This window comes from Homo sapiens, chromosome 8 (genome assembly GCF_000001405.40).
Source record: "Homo sapiens chromosome 8, GRCh38.p14 Primary Assembly".
NCBI lineage: Eukaryota > Metazoa > Chordata > Mammalia > Primates > Hominidae > Homo > Homo sapiens.
Genome location: NC_000008.11, coordinates 143,108,184 through 143,125,879, shown reverse-complemented (window position 1 = coordinate 143,125,879; position 17,696 = coordinate 143,108,184). Strand labels below are relative to the sequence as shown.

The window sequence follows — 17,696 nt, the reverse complement described above, 5'->3', positions numbered from 1 at the left end:
TCCCCGCCCCAGGTCGGCTTCCTCTCCGTCCCCTCGGTAAGGTGTGCTCCCTGTGGCCAGCCCCAAGGCTGTCAGCGTTTTGTATCAGGGACAGGTTGACAGCCACCTGGAGCCTCGTCCTCAGCAAGCTTCTCCCGCGCCCCCTTATCTTGCCTCAGAGAACCTCAGCTTAGATAATAAACAGCCATGCTGCTCGTGGTGCCCACCGGAGACAGCACGCAGAGCGGGATGGTCTCGTTTGCCTGGGAGCCAGGGGAAGCCAGGGGACCACTGGGACTGCCCACTCGCCGACCCCCACCCCCGTCCCTGACACATGGAGGCACGCTGCATCAAGGTTTAGGGTAGGAAGCTCCCCGTGGTACAGGAGGGGCAGCTCTTACCCAAAGGGGGCTCTTTCCGTTATGAAACTTTTTCCCTTTAAACTCTAGAAATTGCCAGAGGCACTGACATTTTCCAGTGGGCCGTGTGCCATAAGCCCAGATGTGTTTAATCCTGAACAGAAGGCTCTTCTGTGCTCACAGTCGACACCTCCAGGAGCTCTCATTAGCGTGTTTACAAGGACATTCTTTTCTTTTGTCTGATTTCTTTCTCCAAGAGCATCCCCAGGGGAGGATGGATGGGTTGCAAATGGTAACACTTTCCATGTGTGTACACGTGTGTGCATGTGTGAGGGTGTGTGTATACATATGTGAGGGTGTGTGGTGTGTGTGTACATTTATCAGGGTGTGTGTGAGGGTGTATGTACATGTGTGAGGGTGTGTATGTGTGTACATGAGTGTGTGGGCATGTGTATGCATGTGTGCCGATGTGTGTGTGTACATGTTTGAGGGTGTGTCCTCGTGCATATATGAGGGCATGCGTGTGCATGTACATTTGTGAGGGTGTGCATGTGTATGAGGATGTGTGTACATGTTTGAGGGTGTGTACATGTGTGAGGGCTGTGTACATGTGAGGGTGCGTGTGTATACATGTGTGAGGATGTGTGTACATTTGAGGGTGTGTGTGTACATGTGAGGGCATGTGTATGTGTGCATGTACATATGTGAGGGTGTGTGTACGTGTGGGTATGCATATGTATACAGTGTGAGGGTCTGTGTGTACATGTGAAGGTGTGTGCACATGTATGTGAATGTACGTGTGGGTGTGTGCATACATGTGTGAGGGGTGTGTACCTGTATGTGTACGTGGGGGGGTGGGGGGTACATGTGGGAGTGCATGTGTGCACGTGTGAGGGTGTGTACATGTGTGAGGGTGTGTGTGTGAGGATGCATGTGTACGTGTGACGTGTTACATGTGAGGGTGTGTTACATGTGTGGGTGCATGTACATGTGTGAGGCTGTACATGTGAGGGTGCATGTGTGTACGTGTGAGGGTGTGTACATGTGTGAGGGTGTGTGTACATGTGTGTGAGGGTGTGTACATATGTGGGTGTGTGTACGTGTGTGAGTGTGTGTGTGGGGGTGTGTGTACGAGTGTGCATGTGTACATGTTTGATGGTGTGTGCATGTACATGTGAGGGCATGTGTGTGCGTGTATGTGTGCATGTTTGAGGGGGTGTGCGTACGTGTGAGGGTGTGCATATGTATACATGTGCGAGGGTGTGTGTACATGTGTGAGGATGTGTGTACGTTTGAGTGTGTAAATGTGAGGGTGTGTGTACGTGTGAGGGTTTGTGTGCGTACATGTGTGAGGATGTATTAGGGTGTGCCTGTACATGCGAGGGCATGCATGTGTGCATGTGTGTGCATGTACATGTGTGAGGGTGTGTACGTTTGAGGGGGTGTGCGTACGTATACATGTGTGAGGGTGTGTACATGTGTGAGGGTGTGTGTACATGTGTGAGGGTGTGTGTACATGTGTGAGGATCTGTACGTTTGAGGGTGCATGTGTGTACATGTGAGGGTGTGTGTACATGTGTGAAGATGTATATGTGTTCAAGGGTGTGTGTGCGCACGTGTACACACGAGGGCATGCATGTGTGCGTGTGCATGTACATGTGAGGATGCATACATGTTTGGGGGTGTGTGCACGTGTGAGGGTGTGCATGTGTACACGTGTAAGGGTGAGTGTGTATACATGTGAGTGTACATGGTGTATTTGTACGTGTGTGTACATATGTGAGGGTTGTGTACATGTGAGGGTGTGTGCACATGTATGTGGGTGTGTGCATGGGTGTGTACGTTTATGGGTGCACGTGTACATGTGTGAGGTTGTGTGTACATGTGTGAAGGTATGTGTGTACGTGTGAGGGTGCATGTGTATGTGTGAGTGTGTACATGTGTGGGTGTATGTGTGTTTACATGTGTCATGGTGTATGTGTGTGGGGGTTTGTGTACATGTGAGGGTGTGTGCGTACATGTGAGGATGTGTACATGTGTGAGGTGTGTACATGTGAGTGTATACATGTGTGAAGGTGTACGTTTAAGGGTATACATGTGTGGGGGTGTGTACATGTGTGTGAGGGTGCGTGTGTGTATGAGTGTACGTGTGAGGGTGTGTGCACACGTGTGTACATGTGTGAGGGTGTGTGCTACGTGTGGGGGTGTGTATACATGTGTGGGGGTGTGTATACATGTGTGGGGTGCATACATTTGAGGGTGCATGTATGCACGTGTGAGGGTGTGTGTACATGTGTGGAGGTATGTGTATGTGTGAGGGTGTGTGTACATGTGTGGGTGTATGTGTAATGTGTGGGTACATGTGTGGTGTGTACGTGTGGATGTGCATACATGCGTGGGTGTGTGCATGTGTGAGCGTGTTACATGTAAGGGCATGTTACATGTGTGAGGGTGTGTGTATATATGTGATGTGTGCACATGTGTGAGGGTGTTACGTGTGTGAGGGTGTGTGCACGTGCGTGGGGGTGTGCACGTGTGTGGGGGTGTTCATGTGTGAGGGTGTGTGTTACGTGTGTGAGGGTGTGTTACGTGTGTGAGGGTGTGTTACGTGTGAGGGTGTGTATGTGTGGGTGTGTGCACGTGTGGGGTGTGTGAAGGTGTGTTACATGTGTGAAGGTGTGTATACATATATGTGGGTGTGTGGGGTGTATACGTGTATGGGTGTATACACGTGTGAGGGTGTGTGTACACGTGTGAGGGCGTGCATGTGTACCTGTGTGAGGGTGCATTTGCGTGTTTGTGCACATGTATACGCTCACATACCATATTGTGTTTGTTGATATGGGCCATGGTCAGAAAAGCTGAATGGCCGCTGGCTGAAAGGGCTGAGCTCAGTCTGTTTTCCCAGAGTTACGTCTGGCTGAACCCCGGTCATCAGCAAGGTGCGTGCCGTGACCTCACTACCGTCAGCTGCAATAGAATCGTGTGAGAAAACGCCATGGAGCTCCTTTCACTGAGCTGCACTAGGGCGTGGCGTCCAGAGGCCTATCCGAGGACAGTCACAGGAGCCCATCTCTCTGTGGACCGCGTCTCGACATCCAGGGCATGTGCTCTGCTGGGCTCATGGGCAGGAGCAGGGGTTTCCTCTCGGCTCGGCTGCTGGGAGCTCAGATTCCCGTCCCGCTCCCGCCCCGTAACCTCCACTCCGCCCTCACGGGGCTGCGGGACTCAGCCTTGAGTCGGCTCCTTCCCCACTCTTCTCCCGGTCACACCTTTATTTCTTTCCCTCGACCTTTTCCTGGACTCTTGGAGCGTTTGTTGATTGGGCTCCGTGAGCCTTGATTCTATGGCTATAGAATGGGGTCAGTGCCTGGCACCCTGGCTCTCCGGTTTGCTGACTTGTGCACAGGACCGCGCTTACCCTCAGTTCTGACTGCGGACAGAGCTGTCTGGTCCAGACTCCTTTCAGCTGTGCGATGACACAGCCAGGAAGATAGAAGCAGCCGGGTCTCGGGGTGTGCAAGGCATCCTGGGCGGATGCAAGGCGGGGTACAGCTGCCTGAGCGCGGCAGCCATGCCCCAGGCCCTGTGCCAGGTTGCTGGGCTCTGGGACTGTCGGGTGGCTCCACTTGGCTCTTGAACACAACTTAGTGTTTCAACTTCACATCTGGCAAAAGGGAGAGGATCCAGGGGTTCCAGGGGTGCCTCTCAGGCGGGTTTTCTCCCCCTCCCCACCCTCAGGCGGTTTTTCTCCCCCTCCCCACCCATCTGCCACATTAATCATCTCACACCAAGCACAGGCAGGTGCTTGCTGCAGAAGCTTGAGTTGCGCGTTCAACACTTTCATCTCATTCTAATGGCCCAGATTCCTCCGAAATGCCACGTTTATCACATGACCACACTGTAATCGCCACCCCCAGTCAAACAGTAAGAAAAGCAGGTAAGACAGGCGCGATGGCTTATGTCTGTAATCCCAGCACTTTGGGAGGCTGAGGCGGGCGGATCACGAGGTCAGGAGATCAAGACCATCCTGGCTAACATGGTGAAACCCCGTCTGTACTAAAAATACAAAAATTAGCCCAGTGTGGTGGCACATGCCTATATTCCCAGCTACTCAGGAGGCTGAGGCAGGAGAATCACTTGAACCCGGGAGGTGGGGGTTGCAGTGAGCTGAGATAGTACCACTGCACTCCAGCCTGGGCGACAGAACAAGACCAAAAAAAAAAAAAAAAAAAAAAAACAACAGATAAGTAACCATGCATTTGTACTAGTAAATTATAAATATACTTCTGCGGTACTATGGATTAAAATGTAATCCCAGTGAGTTAGGCACTGCGTGCTGTATCCTCCCAGTTCCCCATGTTGAAATCCTGATGTGGTGATGTTCGGAGCTGGGTCTTTGGGAGGTGATGAGGTCATGAGGGTGTGAAACTCTCATTGGTGAGACTGGCGCCTTATTAGAAGAGGCTTGAGAGATTTGCTTCCTCTTTCTGTTCTCTGCCAAGTGAGGCTACAAGAAGGTGGCCGTTTGCAAACCAGGAAGGGGACCCTCACCAGACACGGGATCTGCCTGCACCGTGATCTTGAACTTCCAGTCCTAAGAACTGTGAAAAATAAATGTCTGTTGTTTAAGCCGCCCAGTCCACGGTATTTTTTGTCATAGCAGCCTGAGCTGCCTAAGGATCGGTGGAAATGTCACACTCTCTCTAACTGAACAACAATGAAAACACGCACCAAAAACACTGGGAGGCCCGTGGATGGTGATTTTTATGCCTAATTACTTACAGTAGAAAAGAAGAGAAGCTGAAAGTGTCCAACTTTAATTTAGAACCTGAGTAAGAGATTAAATGCAAGGAAAGAGATAATAAAGTAAAAGTAGAAATGGAGGCAAGGCACTCACAGGTAACGTAACAGAAGAACGTATCAGGACATAAAGCATACATGTTATGGCAAGCAAGCTGAAAAATTCGGTGAAGTGGAAAATTCATAGAAAAGAGTAACTTGAAAAATGGCCTTAATTAGATAACATAAATAGCTTTAAGACTATGAGATATAATGAGGCAGTTGTTAAAGGTCTCCCTAAAAGGAAGATATCAGGCCCAGGTGATTGTACAGTTGGGTTTTAGTAGCCTTTCCTATCATTCTGACCTCACACATTTTCCCAAGAATAGGAAGAGGGGATGCCCCAGCTCCTCCAAGAGGCCAGTACAACAGTGATATGAACAGCAGGCAAAGTCATCACAGGAAACATGACTGGCCCGTTCACTCAAAAATATGTTTAACAGCAAGATTACCAACAAAATTTTAGCAAACCAAATAAATAATGTATGAAAAGATAACACAAGATGACCAAAGCAGGCTTAACCCAGGAATGCAAGGAAGGCTTGAAATCTATAAATGAATATCACCTTGGAAGCAGATTAAATGAGAAAAGTCACCAGTTCAATTCAATGAAACCCCTTTTGAAAAAAAACTTAACACACATTTATGAAAAACTTCGTATACATTAGGACTGAAAGGACTTTACCTTAACTTAATAAAGGCTAGCTGTGTAAAACTTACCACCAATTATAGACAGGGACAGAGTGGAAGCATTCCCTCTTGCAATAGGAATGACACATTAGATTTTTTTTTTTTTAAGCTGAGGGCATGTGCAGCCTTTCTTTTTTTATTTTATTTTATTTTATTATACTTTAAGTTTTAGGGTACATGTGTACAATGTGCAGATTTGTTACATATGTATACATGTGCCATGTTGGTGTGCTGCACCCATTAACTCGTCATTTAGCATTAGGTATATTTCCTAATGCTATCCCTCCCCCATCCCCCCACCCCAACACATTAGATATTTATGTTTACCATTTCCATTCAACAATAGAATAAGACAGTATAATAAAGTAAGAAAAATAAAGGCACGAAGATTGGAAAGGAGGAAATTAAAATGTTATTATTTGTCGGTTATAGAAGGGGTTGGCAAACTGCCCGCTGTAGGCAAAATCTGACCCATCATGGGTGAAATCTGACTACACCTATTTGTTTCCATCTTGTCTCTGGCTGCTTTCATGTTACCAGGACAGAGCTGAGTTCTTGCAACAGCAAGCATATGGCTGGGAAAGTGGAAAACTTTTGCAGAAAAAGTTTGCTAACTCCTGGATTAGGGGATCATCTATATTGAAAAGATAAAACTACAGAGACATTATTAGAAGTAACAGTAGAGAAGAGTAAATTATAGAAGTCATTTGTATTTCACATACTAGAGAAAAATCATTAAAATATATAATTTTTAGGCTGGGTGTGGTGGCTCACATCTGTAATCCCAGCACTTTGGGAGGCCGAGGTGGGTGGATCACTTAAGGTCAGGAGTTTGAGACCAGCCTGGCCAACATGGTGAAACCCCATCTCTACTAAAAAATACAAAAATTAGCCAGGCGTGGTGGCGGGCGTCTGTAATCTCAGCTACTCTGGAGGCTGAGCCAGGAGAATCGCTTGAACCTGAGAAGCAGAGGTTGCAGTGAGCCAAGATCACAGTATTGCACTCCAGCCTGGGCAACAGAGTGAGACTCCATCTTAAAAAAAAAAAAATATATGTATATATATATATACACACACACACACACACACACACACACATATAATTACATATTTTTAAATATATATACATTTTTAAAGGCTCTATTATTATTATTAATTTTTTTTTTTTTTGAGACGGAGTCTCGCTTTTTTGCCCAGGCCGGACTGCAGGGGCACGATCTCGGCTCACTGCAAGCTCCGCCTCCTGGGTTCACGCCATTCTCCTGCCTCAGCCTCCCGAGTAGCTGGGATTATAGGCACCTGCCACCACGCCCGGCTAATTTTTTGTATTTTTAGTAGAGACAGGGTTTCACCCTGTTAGCCAGGATGGTCTCGATCTCCTGATCTCGTGATCCACCCGCCTCGGCCTCCCAAACTGCTGGGATTACAGGCGTGAGCCACCGCGCCCGGCCTAAAGTATCCTTTATTATAACTAGAGAATATTTATTAGCTAGAAAAAAATAGAGATTGCAGCAGTTCTCTTTGTGATAAGAATGTACTGTGTGTGGTGTGAGTGGAGCCACGCTAGTTTTTTCTTGGTTTACAGGGTTTGCTTTTCTCTGTGATTTTACTCTTGCTCTTTCTTGAGTTCTTACGTTTTCTCATAAGCAGCTTTGAAAATCTTATTCTTCTGCTTCCAGTACTTAATTTGTTTAGACTTAGTAAAATTACTGATAGTAGGGTAATATCTACCTTTGTTTTTTTTTTTTGGTATTTCATCTGTTTTATGTTTCTTTTCTCATCTTTCATTTTTTAGATTAATCAAATATTTTTATTCCACTTTTTCTGTTACTCAGTCACATGGCTTTTACTTTTAACTAGTTGCCTTAGAAATTACAGCATAAAATTTGACTTATTGGAAGTATATGCAATTACTTTTTTCGTATTTCTAGTACTTCTAGAATCTTAGAACTTTGAGCTATATTTACTGGAACTTACATCTGATCATGGCTGAAAAGCTCCTATTATACCAACCTTCCCTTAGATAACAACTCTAAATTCCAGACAAAAGATTAACAACTACCTGAGGGTAGTCACTGGAGTGTGACAGAAGCCGTCCAGGCCTGGGGGATAGTCAACACCTGGGACAGGAGAACCCCCCGGGGTGGGGGGTGGGTTCCTGTTGTCATGGATTTTAGCCTGAGGATGGATTCCAGTCTGCACCACGTGGAGAGGCTAAAACTCAGGTAGAAAACCCACAGCCTGATTGACTTGAAGAACCAGACAACAGAGTTCAGGGCAACAGCAGCAGCTGGAAAGTGAGGGAGAAAATCCAAGACAGAGACAGAGAGGGAGAAGGAGAGCCAACATTCTATGCACACAATGTCCTCCTATTTCTGGCTAACCTCTTGGATCCTAGTACCCCCATATTTCTAAGAGATAGTTAAACTTTTAGAAGTTGTTTTTCCTGTTCTTCTCCTCCCTGGCTCCCTGTTTCCTACTTAGCCCTTTAGAAAGGCAAACATAACCAGATATTCCCTACAGAGCAAGTTCATCTACCTGCGTGTTCCAAGACGGAACTCTCACCTCCAGAGGTTGCCTTGAAACTGGAACTCACACCCACTAAGAGGGCATGTCGAAAACATGCCCACTTGGCCACTTTTGTAACCCACTCTGCCCAGGAAGGCTCTGACTCTAGATAACAACTGCCTGGTAGATACCAACTTCCCAGTAGCAGGGGTACCCCTGCCCTTGCTCATTTCCTCCCTACCTTATAAAAATGCCTACATTCGGCTCCAAAGGGGAAGCGGCACATTTAAAGGCAGGATGCTGTGTGCCCCTTCCCCTGAGCTAGCTTCAGCGTAAGCTTGCTTCCCTGGTACCAGAACTTGCTTTGGTTAATTGGACTCTGCATGCGGTGAGCAACGAACCTGCTTTTCACTTACTCTCTGCACAGTATTCAGCAAGGGTGGACTCCAAGTAGCCCAGCTAAGGGTGAACTGAACCAAGTAGAACTGAGCTGAAATTTCAGCTACCATCCACGCTTGGATGACAGAGTGTACAGGCTGAGTTCAGCCAAGTTGAAAAGCCTGATTAAAAAAGGAATGCCCAGCCGGGCGTGGTGGCTCACCCCTGTAATCCCAGCACTTTGGGAGGCTGAGGCAGGCGGATCTGAGGTTGAGAGTTCGATGACAGCCTGATCAACATGGAGAAACCCCGTCTCTACTAAAAATACCAAAAATTAGCCGGGCGTGGTGGCACATGCCTGTAATCTCAGCTACTCAGGAGGCTGAGGCAGGAGAATCGATTGAAGCCAGGAGGCGGAGGTTGCAGTGAGCTGAGATGGCTCCACTGCACTCCAGCCTGGGCAATAAGAGCAAAACTCTGTCTCAAAAAAAAAAAAAAAAAAAGAATGTCCTTCAGAGGAACATAATGAGTGCAGAGTTTCCATGCACATCACGGTCAATGTCCAGAAGCGATTTAAAATTACCTGGCCGGGCGCGGTGGCTCACACCTGTAATCCCAGCACTTTGGGATGCCGAGGCGGGTGGATCACCTGAGGTCAGGACTTCCAGACCTGCCTGGCCAACATGGTGAAACCCCGTCTCTATTAAAAACAACAACAACAAAACAAACAAACAAAAAAATTAGCCAGGCGTGGTGGCTTGCACCTGTAATCCCAGCTACCTGGGAGGCTGAAGCAGGAGAGTTACTTGAACCTGGGAGGTAGAGGTTGCAGTGAGCTGAGCTCATGCCACTGCACTCCAGCCTGGGCGACAGGGCGAGACTCTGTTTCAAAAAAATAAAATTTCTTGACACAGAAGAAACAGTAAACTATGACCCATACATGAGAGAAAAGATAATGAATGGAGACAATCTCTGAGATAACTCAGATATTGTAATGATCACATCGAGGCTTTAAGCAGAAATTATATCTATGTTCAAGGATGTAAAGGAAAATAAGCTTTTAATGAATGAAAAGATAGAAAATCTCAACAGAGAAATAGAAACTATAAGAAGAATCAAGTGGAAATTCTAGACCAAAAAGTTAAAATATTTGAGGTAAAAATTTGCCAGTTGGACTTAAAAGAAGATTGAGGGTGACAGAAGAAAGAGGAGCTTGAAGGTAAATTAATAGAAATTAACCAATTTGAAGAATACAGAGGAAAAGGAAAATATGTACAGAGCGTCAGAGTGTCGTGGCACAATATTAAAAGGCCTAAGATAAATGTAATAGGAGCTCCTGAAGAGGAGAGAAAAAATTGCGCAGAAAAAAATTATCTAAAGAAACAATTGCCAAAAAACCTCCGTATTTCATGAAAGGCATAAAATTACAGATTTAAGAAACTCAACAAACCCCATAGAGTATAAATACAAAGAACACTACATTTAGGCACACCATAGTCAAACTGCTGGCGGCCAAAGACACATTTTGAAAGCAGTTGGAGGAAAACACACATTCCCACGAAGTATTAGAACATCAACCCCAACATGAGCTGACTTCTCATCAGAAATGATGGGGGCCACCCGGGCGCGGTGGCTCACGCCTGTAATCCCAGCACTTTGGGAGGCTGAGGCTGGCAGATCACCTGAGGTCGGGAGTTTGAGACCAGCCTAACCAACATGGAGAAACCCTGTCTCTACCAAAAATACAAAATTAGCTGGGCGTGGTGGCGCATGCCTGTAATCCCAGCTACTCGGGAGGCTGAAGCAGGAGAATCGCTTGAACCCGGGAGGCAGAGGTTGCGGTGAGCTGAGATTGCGCCATTGCACTCCAGCCTGGGCAACAAGAGTGAAACTCTGTCTAAAAAAAAAAAGAAAAAAGAAAAAAAAGAAAGAAATGAATGGGGCCAGAAGACAGTGGAACAATGTCTCTAAAGTGCTGAAGGAAAAATAAGGATCTACCCAGTATTCTATATCCAGTGAAAATATTATTCAAGAAGGAAGGTGAAGTAAATACTATTGTTTGTTTGTTTGTTTGAGACGGAGTCTCGCTCTGTCACCCAGGCTGGAGTGCAGTGGTGAGATCTCGGCTCCCTGCAAGCTCCGCCTCCTAATGGTTCTAGCGATTCTCCTGCCTCAGCCTCCAGAGTAGCTGGGATTACAGGCACCCGCCACCACACTCGGCTAATTTTTGTATTTTTAGTAGAAACGAGGTTTCACCATGTTGGCCAGGCTGGTCTTGAACTTCTGACCTCAGGTGATCCACCTGCCTTGGCCTCCCAAAGTGCTGGGATTACAGGTGTGAGCCACTGAGCCCGGCAGTAAATACATTTTTAAATAAAATAAAACCACAAGAATTTATTATCAGCACATACGCGCTATGAGAAATGCTAAAGAAATCTATTCAGGCTGAATAAATGAGATCAGACCGCAACCTCGGTGTGATATTTGGATTTCCTAAGGCCGGATCCTGAACTTCTTTAACCCATTTCCTGTTTGCCCCAAGAATACTTGCCGGTGGCACTTGTGGCTGCAGCATTTACTTCGAGAAAACTTTGCCACGAAATATCTCACTTTTATAACTATTTTTGCATTGCTCTAGTAGATTGACTTTGGCAACAAAAGACATTATTCTATTTATACATTCTGTTTGCAGTAGTGGCATTTCCAGTTACAACATATAGTAATTAGCAACCACTGAAAATGTCAAATCTTAGAAAATGTAGCGTTTCTGTGACATGAGCACCGTTTTCGAACAGTTGTTGGCTGAAGATCATTTGATGAATCTGATTTTTCAGAAATAGATGATTCTGATGCTTCAGATGACTCTGATGTTCTGTTTAGAAATAACTCCAACAACAGTTTTTATATTTTATTTTCACATTGAAAAGCAGTCAGATTTGCTTCACCCTCAAAGAGCGTGTTTATGTAAAATTAAATGAGCGCTGGCACCTTCTTTTTTCTCAATGGGAACAGGGTTAGGTAGAAGGCATGGTGAGATCGTGAAGGAGGAGCCACGTCCCGCTCCTATTCTATCTCATATATGTTTACATGGGTCATGCGTATGTGACCGGTCACTACCAGATTGTATGAAAGAACTCTAATGGGCTTAAAGGAAATTTAAACACTTAAATATCTTATCAGGATAATAGAAGCTAGCTCAAATGCCTTTTAGTTCATGTGACTTTGGTAATCTTTGGTAAGTAAAACTAGTTTCAAAATTCTCTTTATAAAATCTAAAAGTCATGCTAAATTAAGACTAGGATTTTCTAGAAATAAGGGGTTACTAAGTTACAGTAATAGTTTATATATGTAATTAAAACTGCTAGATATAGGCAAAACTATTCTACATACAGAGTGTATGAAAAGTAAGATGTGGGTTTTTCTTTTTTCCTTTTCTTTTTTTTTTTTGAGACTGAGTCTCGTTCTCTCCCCCAGGCTGGAGTGCAATGGCACGATCTTGGCTCACTGCAACCTCTGTCTCCCGGGTTCAAGTGATTCTCCTGCCTCAGCCTCCTGAGTAGCTGGGATTACAGTCGCCCGCCACCACACCCGGCTAATTTTTATATTTTAGTAGAGATGGGTTTCACCACGTTGGCCAGGCTGGTCTCAAACTCTTGACCTTGAGTTATGTGCCCGTCTCGCCTCCCAAAGTGCTGGGATTGTAGGCGTGAGCCACTGCGCCCGGCCATAATGTAAGATGTGTTTTTAGCAAAGGTTATAAAAATCATAAAGATATGGTTTCTGCTTAAAGGAAAAGTACTCTTGTCTAGTTTGGAAGCTATTTACAGGTTGTTTTGGAATCAAGGAAAGATGACATGGATGAGAGTAAATGGATAGAAAGAGGAAGAATAAAGGGCTGGGCAACAAGAAGCCCTTGATTCCTTAGCGGCCACACGTCATCCCTGGTCTGGAGCTGCAGCTGTGCCATCCTCAGCTGCTAAAGGGGAAAGCTACTGGTAGAATTAGAGATGGCACAAACCCTTGGGGAGTTGGTTCAGTGGATGCATAAGAAGATGCAGACTAATAAGCAAAAAGCAAAACATTCAATCCCTTGGTTACTGCTATCTGCAGTAGCTAAAATGAAAGTGTAAGAGAGTGCTGGGTTGGGCCTGGACCATGCTCAGTTGTGGGTCTGTCTGAGCTCAGGCCATTAGCCTCAAAACTACCCACAAAGGGGAAATGATGCCAGGGATGAAAGAAAGCACCCTGAGACCTGTGGTTACCAAGATGGTAGTAAGGGCAAAATCAAGTAGCACTGAAGCCAGAGGACGTGATGTGGGGCAATTGCTTCGTTTTGTAGATTCGCTTCCTGAGGAACTTCTACCAAAATAAATTATGAGAATGACTAATTTGGGAACAGTGTTTTTGGTTTTAAATGTGTAACTGAGCAGCTTGGCTTCAAACCATGTTTTAAAACTTTGTTTTTTCTCCTTTCTTCCCAATCTCAAGATATAACTTTGAGTCAAGCTGCATACGGGTTTCCTTTCATCTTGAAACATAGCCTGGGAATGTGCTGTGGCCTCCCCTCCCCTTCTTTTTCTATTCCATGCTGTCACACCTTACACACACTTATTTACCTGGATGCTTGTTAAGCTCACACCATGCTCACTTCTCTGGTGATGTATTTCCTTAGAAGTTTCAGGGGCCGGATCCTGCTATGGACCAGACACTTCCAGCCACGATGGCCCTGGCCCCTTCACCAGATGGAACAATAATTCGAGATGAGCCATGGGACTGGTTCCTGCCACCCGACACCTCCTCATCACCTGCCTCTTCTGCATTCCAAACCCTCTCTTTAAAATCCCCTGCGTTCCCTCCACAAATGGAAGAGTGGAATTGCTTTGTGCTCATCCCTTTGCTGGTACGGATAATAAAGTCTCACTCTCTTTCTATCACACCTCATTATTATTTTGGCTTCTTTCTACAAGTGGTGAGCAGCCTCACCCTTCTGCTGGTCACAAGTGCAGCAGAATGGAAGAGCACGTGTGGGCTGATGTGAGACCCACAGCTCACTGCTGAACAATGGCAGATGAGTGTGTGTGATCCAGACGCACAGATTATTCCTGAGGGAACGGCCAGCCTGGTGGGCTGGATAAAAGGCACTGTAAGAGAAGGGGACCACCCAACTTTCCCCATAAACGCCAAGTGGAGCACCCCCGATGAAGCAGCTGATGTGCTTCGTAAGCAAGCCATGTGGGACTGACTTTATGATGACCGGGATATTCACGGCTGAGTATGCCCAGATCATGGTAAATGCTGTGGTTAAGGGGGCCCATTGGCCTGGGCACCTCATTGGGTCTCAACTTCCCCTCATGGGTCATCCAGATGCTTATAAAAACTTTAGGCTAATTAATAAAATTATTGGGAAAGGCAAAAGGGAGTCCAAGGACTCATCCTAGGAAGGGGAAAATTTTTAAACGATTAGTTTTAAATAGGTAAAAAATGGGCCAGGCCTGGTGGCTCACGCCTGTAATCTCAGCACTTTGAGGGGCAGAGGTGGGCAGACCACCTGAGATCAGGAGTTCGAGACTGGCCTGGCCAACATGGCGAAACCTCATCTCTACTAAAAATACAAAAATTAGCCAGGTGTGGTGGCGCGCACCTGTAATCCCAGCTACTCAGGAGACTGAGGGAGGAGAATTGCAGTGAGTCAAGACTGCCACTGCACTCCAGCCTGGGTGGCAGAGTAAGACTCCATCTCAAAAAAAAGGTAAAAAGTGGATGGGGTGAAACCAAGAGGAAAAAGGAAAGGAGAGAGTCATGGGGTGCATCCTAGCGGGGTGGAATCTGTACATGGTTGTTAAGCAATGGAATGAATAATGGGGGGTTATTCACAAAGGTCTTAATACAACACTATCGAAAGTTGGGTGAACAAAGGGAGCCCCCGCTGGTCCCTCAACAGTAAAGAGCTCCAAAACAGTTTTTGCCAGATTGGAGAAGGCACTCTAACTATAAAAATTGGAAGGCAAAAGTTACACTGAGCAAACTGACCAACAATTGCGGGGGCCAATGTTGAGGTGGGTTAATCAAGATAAGATTGACAGAAGGGCCAGGGTCCCTTGGATCAAGCCCCTGTGGGGCACCCACATCCTTTTTCACAAGAGAGGGTAAAATGGTCTGGAGGTGGGAAAAAGAAGTTCCTGGGAGCAGAACAGAAAGACGTCGAGTTATGAAAGTCGACTTGTGTGATAGAGTTATGAAAGCCGAGATGTTTAAACAGGCTTTATGTAAGGCATTACATATCCTTTACCTAAATGCTTTATGAAAATGGATATTGAAGCTGGTACAGTGGTTCACACCTGTAATCCTAGCACTTTGGGAGGCCGAGGTGGGCGGATCACTTGGGGTTAGGAGTTCAAGACCACCCTGACCAACATGATGAAACCCCATCTATACTAAAAATACAAAAATTAGCCGGGCATGGTGGCATGCACCTGTAGTCCCAGCTATTGGGGAGGCTGAGGCAGGAGAATTGCTTGAACCCAAGAGGCAGAGGCTGCAGTGAGCCGAGATTGTGCCATTGCACTCCAGCCTGGGCAATAGAGACTCAGGAAAAAAAAAAAAAAGGAAAATGGAAAATGGATATTGTACGTGGACTGGGGAAACCCCTACCTACTACTGCAAAAGTAAAGGCATGAAAAAATCAACGAAAAGAGTCAAACTGTAAAATATTGGAAGAGATTTATTCTGAGCCAAATATGAGAGACTGTGGCCCATGACACGGCCTCAGGAGACCGTGAGAACAAGTGCCCAAGGTGTTTGGGCCACAACTTGGTTTTATAAATTTTAGGGAGCCATGAGACACCAATCAATACAGGGAAGACATACATTTGTTCGATCAGGAAAGGTGGGACAACTTGAAACAGGGACTTCCAGGTCATAGGTAGATTCAAAGATTTACTGATTGGCAATTGGTTGAAGGAGTTACTATCTAAAGACCTGGAATCAAAAGAAGGAATGTCTGGGTTAATGAGGGATTGTGGTGACCAAGTTCCTATTACACAGAGAAAGCCTCCAGGTAGCTTCAGAGAGAACAGATTGTAAATGTTTCTTACCAGAGTTGATTCTCTCTTGAATCAGGGAAAAGTCCTGAAAAAGGAAAAGGATTCTCTTCAGAATGCAGCTTTTCCCCACAAGAGAAAGCTTTGCAAGGCTATTTCAAGACATGGCAAAGAAACACAATTTGCGGTAAAATACTTCAATTTCATTCAGTGAATCCTTCGCTTGGCTTCCTACCCTTGAGGCTTTTAATAAGTTGAGTCCAAAATTCCCTAAAAAAGTTCCAGCAAAGCCAACTTAAAAAGAGCCGACCAGCTTAGGCAACATGCTGAGACCCTGTCTCTACAAAACATAAAAAATGAGCTGGGTGTGGTGGGGTGTGCCAAGGGTCCCAGCTACTCGGGAGGCTGAGGCAGGAGGAGTGTTTGAGCCTGAGAGGCTGAGGCTGCAGTGAGCTCTGATTGCACCATTGTACTCCAGCATGGCTGACAGAGCAAGCCCCTGTCACAGGGAAAAAAAAAAAAAAAAAAAGCCTCTAGGGCTGGTAACTATTCTTGCCACGCTTCATGCAAATAGGCCAAGTATAATGAGACCGAAATTTATTTTGCAAATAAACTGGTCCTACTATGATTTATCCTTGGTAGAAATGGGGAAACTAGAGAGAGAAAAATTTAGATCCTAGCTCTGACCGTTGTTTTTGAGTTATTATTTGCTTACAATTTGGGCTAATCCTGAATCATTCACTGGCTACAAGTCTCTAAAGAAAAACCGGGTTTTAGTTTCCTTCACGATGCTTTTAGTCGGCTTCTTAATGAAATAGGTTCTTTTTTGTTACTGTTCTGAAATACAAATTCCCTTTTGATTGTCATCCTTGTGTGCAAATTATTAATGTTATGTATCTCTTGTTGTTTTATTTTCTCTGAGAAAACAGAAGTCGTGGTATCCTGAAGACTAGAGATGATTCAACAGCCGGTGACCCTCCCTCACTGGGACTCTCACCGGGCCCGACCTGTTTTCCGACGCCAAGGCACCGCTGCTGAAGCCAGACAACCCCAAGCACCCTCCCTAAGGCTCAGGGACCATCGCGGAAGAGGAGGGCAGGTGAGACGGTCAGAGCTGGATTAGTGGGGCGGCGCGGGCGGATCATGGAGGCCGAAGCCGCTCCATCTTGGACGCTAGTTTGTCGTGTTGGCTTCTGATTAACCTCAGTTCCGGGAATGCCTCTGAGAGTTCCCGTTCATCTGTTGTTCCTTGTGTAAGAGCACATCCTTATCACAAGTCCTGGCCTTAGGGAAATTCCTGCCCACCCCCTCTGAGGCATGTCCCCTGCACTATGGCAATAGAAGCCCTGGGCCTGGGTGGTGACGGCGCAGGGAGCCGCCATCTTGACTCACCGTAGCCTGAGACTGACATGGCTTCTGTTTCTAAGTCCCTATTAAATGTTTCTTTTTAAGAACTGAATTTGTGGGCCAGGCGCGGTGGCTCACGCCTGTAATCTCAGCACTTTGGGAGACCGAGGTGGGCATTTCACGAGGTCAGGAGATCGAGACCATCCTGGCTAACCCGGTGAAACCCCGTCTCTACTAAAAATACAAAAAATTAGCCGGGCGTGGTGGCGGGCGCCTGTAGTTCCAGCTACTCGGGAGGCTGAGGCAGGAGAATGGCGTGAACCCGGGAAGCGGAGCTTGCAGTGAGCCGAGATGGCGCCACTGCACTCCAGCCTGGGCGACAGAGCAAGACTCTGCCTCAAAAGAAAAAAAAAAAAAAAGATGTGAATTTGTCAGCCTCTTTCTTTGGCCTGTCAGCTTCCTTGGACTTTGAGGTAGATGTGTTTGGACTTGTTCACTGTGAGACAGTGGCTGAATAGTGTTCTTCTGTATACACTTAAACATTCTGTTTATC

At 46.1% G+C, this 17,696-nt stretch overlaps 2 annotated features.

Annotated features, from left to right (window-relative positions):
• Positions 7,919 to 8,916: an enhancer, noted in NCBI's record as "H3K27ac-H3K4me1 hESC enhancer chr8:144198381-144199378 (GRCh37/hg19 assembly coordinates)". NCBI's record gives its function as "activates a minimal SCP1, AML or CMV promoter by ChIP-STARR-seq in primed H9 embryonic stem cells {active_cell/tissue: H9 hESC(primed)}" and the evidence as "EXISTENCE:reporter gene assay evidence [ECO:0000049][PMID:30033119]".
• Positions 8,917 to 9,914: an enhancer, noted in NCBI's record as "H3K27ac-H3K4me1 hESC enhancer chr8:144197383-144198380 (GRCh37/hg19 assembly coordinates)". NCBI's record gives its function as "activates a minimal SCP1, AML or CMV promoter by ChIP-STARR-seq in primed H9 embryonic stem cells {active_cell/tissue: H9 hESC(primed)}" and the evidence as "EXISTENCE:reporter gene assay evidence [ECO:0000049][PMID:30033119]".